At 47.3% G+C, this 12289-nt stretch overlaps 1 protein-coding gene across 1 annotated transcript, besides 1 other annotated feature; it reads right to left on the bottom strand.

Annotated features, from left to right (window-relative positions):
* LORICRIN (loricrin cornified envelope precursor protein) lies at positions 1146-3583 on the bottom strand. Its single transcript, NM_000427.3, has 2 exons — positions 3537-3583; positions 1146-2343 (listed from the first exon to the last, which is right to left on the bottom strand). The coding sequence occupies exon 2, from the start codon at positions 2318-2320 to the stop codon at positions 1382-1384; it is 939 nt and encodes a 312-aa protein (NP_000418.2). The 5' UTR covers positions 2321-2343; positions 3537-3583; the 3' UTR covers positions 1146-1381.
* Positions 1700-1749: a silencer, noted in NCBI's record as "silent region_1338". NCBI's record gives its function as "represses an Ori minimal core promoter by ATAC-STARR-seq in GM12878 lymphoblastoid cells {active_cell/tissue: GM12878}" and the evidence as "EXISTENCE:reporter gene assay evidence [ECO:0000049][PMID:35858748]".

Raw genomic sequence — 12289 nt, 5'->3', positions numbered from 1 at the left:
CATAAGAGCGATAGTAAGAAATACATCTACTTCATTTTGTCCAGAACTGAAAGTCTGACTTTCATTTGTTAAAAAACATGAAAGTAATGCAGTGGTTGGGCTCCTGGATCTTTAAGACTGCTATTTATTCTGATCTCCATGAATTACCGATGTAAAATGATGCATGGTAGTGATCCTAAATGGAAGAGTTGAGGAGGAAGACTTTTTTTCCCCCCAGCAGTGATTGAGTAGGAAGGGTACTTTGGCTTTTTGACGTAGCAGGAGTTTTTCTTGAGTAAATCAGTAAATTGGCATTTAACTAGAGCTGGTAAAATCAGGATATGAAACAGAACCTGGAAAGTCCCTGGCCAGGCTGATGTTCTACATCTCTTTTGAGGGCTCTGCAATTAATACATCCCTTGGAGCAACTGTCGCTTCTTCCTTGTTAATTGGAAGCTCTTGTGTTTTCCATGACCTCTTTCTGGTGCCAAGCTTTTACATCTCGTATATGTATGCTGCATCTTCCTAAGTTAGGTAAAGTTCCTTCAAGAGAGCAGGAAACATTCAACCCGAGAAAGCTGATTGAAATTAAAAAAAAAAAAACGAGAGAGAGAGTGAGAGAGCAGGAAACAGCTCCCCTACTACCTCCTCTCCCTACGGGTACCTACTAAAGTGGTCTTGCTCACCCTAGGGGCCCGTAAACATCTGATATGCTTTTTATTTCTCCGTGAGTCTGAGTAGCATGAGCTGGTGCTCCTAATGTGCAGCCACCCAGCTTTCAGACCTTGCAGAATTGGCTTTGGACTGTGAGAGACAGCGTCTTTCCAGGGCAGCCTGTCTTTAAAAAACAGAGTTCAGTAAGGAGACCCACAGTAGCTACTCAATCCACAGGGAGGTGTTTACTGAAGTCTCTCCTCAGGATCTTTGTGTTTTGGGATCACGTCATGATTTTAAGCCGTACACTAGAATGTTCATATGTTTGACCTTCGTTTGCCAGCCATTCCTCCCTCTCCTGGTGACTCCCATCTATCCACTCACCTTTCCGCCAATAGAGTCCGTGCATTTGTAAAATGAATGTAAGTGTGAATGAGCGAATGCAGGAAAGGAGAAGAATGGAATGGAATGGATGAACTTGAACACTACAAATACTCTTGGAGACCTAAAAATTCTCATGAATTTGCAAATTTATTGACTGAGGCACTGGGGTTGGGAGGTAGTTGTACAGAAACCAAAGAGGCTAAACAGCAGAACTAGATGCAGCCGGAGAGCTCAATGGCTTCTTCCAGGTAGGTTAAGACATGAAGGATTTGCAAACCTCGGGTAGCATCATGAGAGCTCTAAGCCCATCGGTGCCCCTGGAAAACACCTCCAACTCCTTCGCCTCCGTGGTACCCTGGGGGATCTATTTGGACGGCCAGGTAGGCGCCTGCTTCTGCTGGGTCTGGTGGCAGATCGGGACGCCCTTGCCACTCCCGGAGCCACCCACGGAGGAGCCGCCGCCGCCGCCTCCAGAGGAACCACCTCCGCAGACGGAGCCCCCGCCACTGATGATGCAGCCGCTGCCAATCCCGGAGGAGCCGCCGCCGCAGCCGGAGCTCCCGCCGCCCCCGCCGCTGGAGAAGCAGCCGCTTCCGCCGCTGCCGCCGCCGCCGGACGACCCCCCTCCGTAACTCGGCTGGGGCGCGCACGAGGTCTGAGTGACCTGCTGCGAGGAGACGTAGCCGGAGCCGCTGCCGCCAGAGGAGCCTCCGCCGCAGCCAGAGCCGCCGCCAGAGTAGCCGCAGACAGAGCCGCCGCCCCCGCCGCTGGAGAAGCAGCCGGAGCCGCCCCCGGAGGAGCCGCCGCTAGAGACGCCTCCGTAGCTCTGGCACTGGACCGCCTGGCCCGAGAAGCCGCCGCCGCCGGAGGAGAAGCAGCCGGAGCCGCCCCCGGAGGAGCCGCCCCCACCGCTGGAGAAGCAGCCGGAGCCGCCCCCGGAGGAGCCGCCGCCACCGGAGGAGAAGCAGCCGGAGCCGCCCCCACCGCTGGAGAAACAGCCAGAGCCCCCGCCGGAGGAGCCGCCGCCTCCGGAGTACTTGACGCTCCCACCGGAGCCCCCTCCGCAGCCTCCAATGCCGCCCCCGCCCCCGCCGCCGGAGGAGCCCCCGCCGCAGCCGCCGCCAGAGTAGCCACCGCCGCCGGAGTAGCCGCAGCCAGAACCGCTGCTACCGCCCCCTGAGCCGCCGCCGCCGAAGAAGCCGCAGCCACCACCGCCGCTGCCGCCGCCACCGCCACCGCCGCCAGAGGTCTTCACGCAGTCCACTGGGGGCTGAGGGGTGGGCTGCTTTTTCTGATAAGACATCTTGTCTGAGAAGGAAGGAGAGCCTGGAAGGGGAGAAGAGAGCATCGCTGGACCAGCTGCAAGAGGATACTTACGGAGGCAGCTGCATCCATAGGCAACATCGCCATCCTCCCAGGGCTCCTTCAGGTGCCCGGAGAGCCCTCAGCGGGGTTTCTTATGATTGCTGCTTTTGGAAAAGTTGAGTTCCTCATTCCCCTGCAGAAAGCCTTCATTATGCTTTAAACAGCCCAGTTAGCAGTGCCCATTCTTTCTCCCAGCTCTGCCTCTGACCACTGTTGTGTGATTTGAGGGCAGATCACCCACACGCCCGCCTCTTTCTCATTTCCTGTTAAATGAAAGGGTTTGAACACTTCATCTTTCAGGCCTCTTCCAATCTCAACACTGATTCTCTGAGTGCAAATAGAAAACTACCACAAACCTCTACCTAGGATAGGAGATTTTACCCATTCCCAGCACAACAGAGAGAGGTTTGTCGGACTTCATTCTATTGAGGGCTGTTGCACTCCATCCTCTGCAGAAGCTCTTAGTTCAAACTCTTGGTCTGTCCCACTGAGCTAGGCCATGAACCAAGGGCTAGTCACTAGAAAAGACAGGCTCTGCTGTGGCCCTGCCTGGAAACAGGGGAAGGACCCTGGTGGTCCTTTGGACCAACATCCCCGACCAGAAGCTATTAGCCATCTCTTCCATGATTTTCTCAAGTCCAAGTTTGGTAGAAGGGACTTTGACTAGTAGGAAGTTGTATTTCCCTCTCAGAACTTCTAACTCTGTAAAACAGCAATTGGATTTCTGTGGCACCTGAAATCCCTCCCATCTGCAACTTTTTTGGATCATTCTCCCTACTCTCTTGAGAGTGGCTCAGCCTCTCCTCCTGACAGGTTCACAAGGTCTGCTCAGCCTGTGCACAGGCTGCCTTGGACAGCCTCTGCAGAGTCCTTCTGTGCCCGGCACCATGCCTGCCCCTATGCGGGTGCCAGAGAGGCAGGAGATAGTCTTGTCTTTGTGGAGTTTACATTCTGGCCAGAAGACCAGAAACACCATCTGCATGGCAGCAGCTCATCCCCTGCTCCTTTCCTGACCGCCCTCTAAATGTGAGTGCTTTTGGGAAGGCAGAGGTCCTATAGCTCCCAAAGGGGAAAGAGGCCCTGGTCCATCTAATCTAGTCAGGCCTGGGCAAGACCAGCTGGGAAAATGAGAGAGTCAGTAGAACCACACTTACCCAAAGCACCAGGAAGGGTGAGTGAGGAGAGAAGATGCTGGCAATGTGAGGAGCACTGATCTCCTGAGGTTATATATAGAGCTCTCCCTGACTCATTGATCCAGGCCAGCTTCTTGTGTTTGGCCTCAGTTACGTGACCCGTGGCTGTCGGCCCCACCTCCCTGTGATTGCAGGCACAGGATGGCCCATTCATGAAGGTTTTGGCATTCTTGAGATGGGCAGCCTGGTGTGTGACTGGCCCCTTCTCTGATGCAACAGTGTGGCAGGCTCATCAGTGGGGTCACCCAGTCAGAGTGGATGGCAGACATTGTTTCCAAAACCTCTGGCACAGGATGCATACCAGGTGACCACAGGGCTGTGCTTGAGGAATAGGTCCCAGAGTCTTGAGGTGCCCTAAGAGAGTCAAACTGAAGATCTCAGTGCTTTATCCAAGGAGTAGGACCTTCTAAATCCTACTGTTTGACTTCTGGTCCTGCTACTCTAAAAATCCTCAAAACTTTAGAACCCGTTACTCCTTTGCAAAAGTTTATCTCCCAGGATTTCATGTGTGTTTTGCTGGGGTGTTTCTGTCCTGCCCACTGGAGGCATGAGTCCCCAGCACCCAGCTCTGGACTGCACACCATAGACAGTGCTGTAACTAATGTGACGTGGGAAGCTACTTTGATTCATCCCCAGAGACAGCAGGCATTTGAGACAGTCTGAGAAGGGTAATCAATACTGACTTTCCTTGCAGCAGAGCAAACTAAAGAGATGGACCATGTGATCCCACAAAGGCTCTTTGGCTCTGTTGTCCTGTGGTGTTGTGTGGCAAAACACTGACCTTAGCCTGAGGGGCAGTCATTGAATGGGATAGACTTGAGATTAGGTGACAGATTGGGTGCTCCCTTTGCTACTTGCCAGCTGTGTCACCTTGGGCAGAGTCATAGCTCTTAGTGCAGTACCTGCACATGGGAGGCACTCAGTAAGTACTTATTGACTGTGGAATGATCAAGCTTTTTGACCCTCAGTTACCTTGTCTATCAAATAAAAATAGTAGTACCTATTTCACAGGCATGTGAAGGGAGAATAGTTATGTTAAGTGTAGAAGGTGATGCTGTCTTTTTTGTTGTTTTCTCATATAACAGCACATCCTTACTTCCAACCTGGCCTTCCCTTGGATACCAAGGCCAGAAAGGAGTCCATGGAGGGATTGGGCAAGTCCAATTCTTCTCCTAGGAGAATAACTCAAAACTTTCTTGTTGACTCTGGACCAGTAGCATCACCTCTGCGCATGCAGAACAGGATGCTGCTTCTTTCATAACCGGAAGTCAATTGGTATTGTTTAAGATACCACAGTCAAACTTTGTTCTGCCCAGTTATGTTTTGAAATGACAGCTCCAATAATAAATTCTTAATTATAGTGCACTTTTAATGATCCAGATGATCCTGATTAGACTGTGGCCATCAGAAACTTGTGGCACTAGTTTCAGTTTGGACAGCATAAACCCAGGTGAACCCAAGAGGAACTCAGGTGCTCTCCTCCTTAGAGGAGACCCAGTAGGGAGAAGACAGGATCTGTTGGAGAAGGCAAGTTTCTCTGCTTGAAGTTGAGGCAGTGTGGAGAATTTGGAGGGAAACAGGCCGCGATTAGTGATTGCTGTGGGTATAAGAAAGAACAGTTTTATTTAGCTGGGCCACATTGGAAAGAGGAGCACGTGTGGACGACGGTTCCCAGTACTGATATGTGTGGTCCCTTGTTGGCCCATTGCTATGTGTTCACCAGTCCTTAGCAAAAGTGTAAGTAAAAGGACGTCAGCAGGGTATTCTTGGGAAAGAAAGTCTTCAATTCTGAAATCATGGCCTTCCTACCTCTTCCTTTAAAAGATGTGGTGACATGAGGCTGTAGTTGTTTCTTTTATGTCCTGCCATGTCAAAATGAAAATTTGGCTATGGTGTAATGATTACCACTTTTTTCTGAGGGAGATATTACTTCTCCATGGAATTCTAAAATTTGGGAACTAGGCCGGGCACAGTGGCTCATGCCTGTAATTCTAGCACTTTGGGAGGCCAAGGTGAGAGGATTGCTTGAGCCCAGGAGTTTGAGACCAGCCTGCACAACATGGCAAGACCCTGTCTCTACAAAAAATACAAAAATTAACGAGGTGTGGTGCCATGCGCCTGTAGTGCCATCTACTCTGGAGGCTGAGGTGGGAGAATCGCTTGGGCCCAAGAGTTTGAGACCAGCCTGGGTAACATAGTGAGACCTCATCTCTACAAAAAAATAAACAAAATTAATTGGGCATGGTGGCATGTGCCCGTAGTCCCAGCTACTCAGGAGGCTGTGATGGGAGGATCGCTTCTGCCTGGGAGGTCAAGGCTGCAGTGCGCCAAGATTGCACCATTGCCCTCCAGCCTGGGTGACAGAGTGAGACCCTGTCTCAAAAAATAAACAAAACGGGAACCTAAAGTACAGTTGACCCAAAATGACTAATCTTCAAATTGTCCATGTTGGCTTTGGGGGGTTCATTTTCTTCTAAGAAATATAGGGTTTTTTTTTCTATTAATTTTAAGATGCTAATTCTTTATTTGTTAATCCAGCCAAAACAAATGTACTGGGCACCATGTTAAGCATCAAAGAGCCAGAAGGCTTTCCAAAGCTATGCATGGGTCTTTTTGGTAGAGTCGCGGGTGGGGATGGTGCCCCATGCCTGCCTCTGCCACCCTATATAGCATTTAATAAGAAAGGATATACATATTTAACTATATATAGTTTTACATACATACATAACTGTATATAGTTTTACATACATACATAACTGTATATAGTTTTACATACATACATAACTGTATATAGTTTTACATACATACATAACTGTATATAGTTTTACATACATACATAACTGTATATAGTTTTACATACATACATAACTGTATATAGTTTTACATACATACATAACTGTATATAGTTTTACATACATACATAACTGTATATAGTTTTATATACATATGTGACTATAGTTTTATATACATATATGACTATATATAGTTTTATATACATATATGACTATATATAGTTTTATATACATATATGACTATATATAGTCATATATGTATATATAACTATGTCACATCAGCCTCTTCTGCATGTTAACTAAATATGTGTACTAGTTACAAGTTATATATATATAGAGTTACATATATATAGAGATATATCTGTAGAGATATATATATATATATATAACTTGTAACTAGTATAAATATTTCGTTAACATGCAGAAGAGGTTGATGTGACATGATACTGAGTACCAGATCTTGTGGCTTTCAGCCCTGAGTTAACCTTGCCTGATATACGAATATATGAACCTGGTTTCTCATTTCATCTTTCTGGAGCAGAAGCAGTAGTCCTAATGGGATATCTGTGTGGGCAGCAACTGATTATCACCTTTTATCATATCAGTGAGGAAATAATGGGACTTTGTAGAATTGTAGAATGACACATAGGTATTTGGGGTTTTGTAAGACTTGGCAGTTCAGATTTTTAAGGTTTATAGCCTTTAGACACCTAACCCTGCAAGGTGTGCTTGATAGCACATTTGACTTCTGCAGTTTGACAGATTAGGACATGGTTCTTGCCTATACTTGTATCCTTAGAGGGGATGGTCCTTAAAGCAGATGCTACACAGTGCCTGGCATGGTGCTGGGCATTAATAGGTGCTCAGTAAATCCCAGTGGAATTGAAGGAACTCTTGAGACCTATTGACTGACTGCGGTTGAGAGATGATCTTGTCAGATGATGAGGAGTGGAGGGTTTCAGCATGGAACTACAGATTAAACCTAGCCACTGTGCAGAATGAACAAGCCTTGTGCAGGGGATCCAAGGCCAGCTATAGAAGTGACACTGGGCTAACACTGGGCTAGTGGAATTTTAGCCTGCTTCCCTGACCACCCTCACAATATCTATCTGATGGGAAGGCCCCGTATAGGAAGTGTGTGTGTGTGTGTGTGTGTGTGTGTGTGTGTGTGTGTGAAGGGTGGTGATTCTTCAGAAAGATGTGGCAGTCTAGGGTGTTAAGGACACATTGGGGCTTATCCACAATCACAGATGCATCCTTTGGAGACAACCCAGCTTCTGATTCATAAATCACAAAAAAGTTGGAGATTTGTTCTTTCTGCATCTCAGCTTAGCTTATCTTTGTGGGAAGCTCACATCTTCCTGCTACAGGCATCTTCAGAGCAAGAGAGAAGCAGGTAGAGGAGACAGTGTGAGGGCCTCCCGCATTGTGATGCACAGCTTGGCCATCTTAACAAGCTATGTTGGGGGGATTTAGGAAAGAGCAGCTGCAAACTACTCTGAGAAGGCTGCTTCTCTGAGTAGAGGCACCTGGCTCCTGGGCCCCAGTCTGAGATTTCATTTCTTGAGCTTGGTGAGCCCCAGTTGGATGGAAGCATGCTCATCACAACCTTGAAGTATCCAGAGCTACACACATGGGTTCTCATGACTGAGTGCTGACTACTTATCTAACAGGTTAAAGGGGCAGCAGGTGGCTGTAAAGAATAAAATGAACACAGGACAGGGGCTTGGGAGCTTTGGCAGGACAGGAGTAGTGCTTGGAAGCCCTTTGTACTGTTGACTTGGAATGGGAACAGTTTTCTCTCACAGTCCTGGCCCAGGAAGTGTCACAGAACTCCAGGTACCTCCTGGGCTGCCATTTTCCTCCTTTCTACTGCCCTTCTGGGCCAACAGTTTGAAGGGGTGGCTGATCCTCGGTGTTACATGGGGAGAACTGCTTAGAGGTGGGTAGGAGAAGGAGAGCTCTGCAGTGGTTCGTGGCTACTGGTGTTCCCTCTCCAGGAAGCTTCCCTGGATTCATCACACCCACTGGTTCCATCTCCCTCACCACTTTCCCTTTCCAAGGCCTTAAGGAACAATTGTACTAGTTACGGTCTGCTAATGACACATCGCTTTGACTTGTTTCTTTTTTCAAGTTATAATTGTCCTTGAAGGAAGGCTCCCTATTAGTTCTTAACTCTGCATCTTAGGATTTAAAGAGCACTTATAGCCCCCTGGGGTGTTATCAGGCAGTGTTGACTCTTACTTGGTCCTCTTTTGGGTGCTCCTGGAGCCCATCATTTTGCTGAGGGTGGGGACCACAGATGAGTTGTTCAGACCTTTTCAAACAGCTTATAGATGCACACAGGGTTAGCAGTGCATCCAGGGATCATGCTTGCCTGGGCTTGGACACTTCCTCTGTGGACAGACTCTTCAGTTTATGGACCACTGTCACATAGGTTCAATCCTCCTAACAGTTTTGTGTGCCCAGTAATGTTATCTTCAGTTCAGGATGAGGAAGCAGCTTAGAGTGGTTAATGGATTTGCCCAAATTCTCACAGCCTTTAAGTAGAAAAGCCAGGATTCTCAGTTCGTTTGATTCTAAACTGTGTGTTCTTTTCAAGCACCGCGTACCTCTCCTCTTTGGATCAATAGGAACCAAATGAAGGAATGACTCCCCAGCCAGGCTGGTTTGTGTCCTCTGGGAGGCAGGGAGCAGAGGATGCTTTCATGAATGCTCCCAGCTACTCAGGGACAAATTTATGCATTGACAGAGTATGACAGCTGGAAGGACACACAGAGATCTTCCAAACATCTCTCTCCTTTGTAGAGATAGGTAAAGAACCCAAGGCCCTGAGAGGCTAAACCATGTTCCAAGGCTACACAGCAGGGCCAAGACTAGAAGCTGGGTTTCTGGATGCCCAGCTCAGTACCCCTGCCACAGTAGATTCGAGTTGTGGTTTTTTGCTTTCTTTTAACAAGAATACCTCTAGGTGCTGGCAGTGAGAGGAGGGAGTAGTTAAAATGAAAGTAAAAATGTTTTGTAGCTGTGCCTGCTAAGCTCCAGTAGGCTGTTGGGCCAGGGCACACTAGCCTCTGGGCCTGAAAGTAAATTGCTGATATCAGGAGGCAGAGTTTTCACTGGTGGGCAGCTGCTAGGTAGCCTGAAGGCTTAGGGCCTGCATCCTAGCTCATATGTAAACTTTATGAGCAGGGAGGAGCAGTGAGTGCTCCAGTCTTGCTCTGAGAAAGGGAATGTCACCTGAGGCCCCTCAGGACTGTGGTGCGTAATGGTAGTTGGTGGTCTAAGAATGCTGGATCCACTGATATCTGTTGGTTGAATTATCCATGTTGTTTTAACTGATTCCAAGTCAGACAACCTGGAAATCAATATGGCAGAAAGAAAAAAGCATAAGCATTTCAAACCTGTAGCCTTTTAGGTTGCTTGGCCTAAAAGCTTTCACTCATGCTTTTCAGCCGTGTGCTATCTCAGATAACCTGCACCAATGCACTTCTTCGCTGGGCACCATTGAGAAGCAAAGCAAGGCAAATGCTCCTTCCCTTTTGGTTTTAAATCCAATTTTGATTCTTAAGCACTACTTTCAGGAATTCCCTGCAGCTGCAGTGGGCTTTGAGTGTGACCTCTGTCTTACCCAGACTGTTAATAGGATTTACAACTGAAGACCACAATCTGGATTCAATCTCTGTCTTGGCCAGTAATCCTGTTCCTCAGACTTGCTGGTTATCCTTAATTTTTGCTCATTCTTCAAATTATACTCCTTATTTCAATAGCTGAACCTGTTGAAATCAGGTGGATGACTTGGGGCAAACTTTCCTAATGCTTAAAAAAGTGACATCATGGCTTGGTGGGTGGGTCTCCAGTGACCTCTTTGTCTGGTTCCATCCATGTGCTCAGAGAATCCCAAGAGGTGGGACTGTGGAACCATGATTTACATCTGGCACAGATTCCTTGGGCCTTCTCTTCTGGGCTAAGAGTATCCCTGGCAATATGGATCTCCCTAACTCTCCATATCCCCATGTAACTCAGGGCTGGACCTCAGAGTAAATATTTGTAAATATGTTGATCAGTCAAAGAGATGATGAGAATTTAATCTCATAGAGGAGGGAAAATATAATCTGATTTTGTTTTCTATGAAAGTATCTTAAATAAATTTGCTATGGCAAACTGCTGGGAGCTAGGAAGTTTGTTAGCTTCTGGTCTGTTCTGAAGGGTAGGGATCAAGGTCTTTCCTCTGCTGAGGTCTTGGGGTCTTGTCAGCGGGGCAATGCTCTAAACCTGCCTGGCCACCAACACCTTGTGAGCTTGGGCAAGGTCTTGTCCCTCAGATCTCAGTTTCTCCATCTATGAAGTTAATGTAATCCACTCCCATCTTAGTAGATATTTTTTATGCCTCCTTCCCATGGCTCTTCTCTGGATAGAGAGGAAGGAGAGATGAGGATGGTCAGAGGCAGTGACAGGGAAGAAGCTAGGTGGGTTGACAAGGATCACAGGCCAATGGGAAAAGAGCATAAAAATGTCATACCTCCCTGTATGCCAGCCTTAGGCTCAAATCAATGGAATTTTGGGAATTTTTCTCCCAGAGAGCATTTCCCACCTGAGCTGAGTATGCAGGAAAAGGGAGGGTGCAGCAGGAGGGCAGGGTGAGGAAAGTAATCTTGCCTTAAGAATAACCTCTGCGAGTGTCATCACCCAGGGTGCGTATAATTGCACAGGATTAAGAAAGGCATGTGGGCAGGCTGCGTTGCTTTAGATCCTCCTGCAATTAGTGTATGCCACTTCAGATCCCAGAGGAAGGATTAATTTGTGTGACGTGTGTTCATATGTCTACAGGTGTGCATGTGTGCCTGCAGCAGGGAATCCCCTGGTGGTGGAGCTGGCCCCTTATCCTTAGTAAATCATTCTGCTACAAAAATTAAAACCAAAAAAAGAAAAAAAAATTTGCTACAAATTTGAAAAGCAAAGCCAAAAAAAAAAAAGTCACCTATAATTCCATCATCCAAATACAGCTGGTAAGTTGTAGTATTTCAAATGTTGTTGAGTATTTTAATCTTGTTCTTGTGTTTTTTCTCTTAATTTATACTTCCTCTTTCTACAAACTCTCAATTTTGGCTGCTGACTCTCCATATGGCAGTGTCATCATGCACAGACCTGGACCCCCATGTCACGCCATGGACTCCATGACTACTAGCTTTAATGGCTGGTCTCCGTGGCCCACTCCCATTCTTACCATGTACACCTTCCAGCTGTCCTGTGTCCACTGTACCCTTGAGAACGCTCTCTTGAATTTCTCCAGATCTTGGTTGTCTCCCTGGTAGGCTGCTGGAAGGGACCTTATCTTTCTTTGTATACACAGTGTTGGCTGCATAGTAGGTGAGGAGAAAGGTTTGTGTGGTGAAATACCCTCTTTTATCTCAAACCTTTACTTCTTGGCCCCCCAACTTCCTTGTGTATAAGCCTTGGTTCCCCCAGACTCTGTCTAGATCCACAGAATCATTGATTTTCCCCAAAATGCGGTTTCCATCTTGTCTTTTTAAAGCTCTCTTCTCTTCACAGGCTTCTGAACCAGGATTCCCCTGGGCATGTGTGGTCTGAAGTGGCCCCTTTTGGTATGTGTGTGAGAGGGCATGAGGAAGGGGAAGAGGGAAGCAGACAGCTTAGTGGTGGCATGTGGAAAATAAGTCATTCTGTAATAGAATGCTTGAGAGAAGTGCTAGCCCATTGCCGGGGGGATGAGGGGATGCAGAGAAGAGAAGCAACTGGAAAAGTCTTCTGGAAAGAGTGAGTTTTGAGATAGGATTGGAAAACAGTAAAAATTGTTGACAGAGGTTTTTCCAGATTCGGACTTTGACTTTCATGTTGCTTTCATGTGTATGAGTGTAAATGTGTGCATATGGTGCAGTGTGTGCACATCTCTGTGCATAT

This window comes from Homo sapiens, chromosome 1 (assembly GCF_000001405.40).
Source record: "Homo sapiens chromosome 1, GRCh38.p14 Primary Assembly".
Lineage (NCBI taxonomy): Eukaryota > Metazoa > Chordata > Mammalia > Primates > Hominidae > Homo > Homo sapiens.
The sequence above is the reverse complement of the archived record's forward strand: the minus strand, read 5'-3'. Positions and strand labels throughout refer to the sequence as shown.

Coding starts and splice junctions, on each gene's coding strand:
- LORICRIN (NM_000427.3), bottom strand. CDS start 2,320: ATGTCTTATCAGAAAAAGCAGCCCACCCCTCAGCCCCCAGTGGACTGC.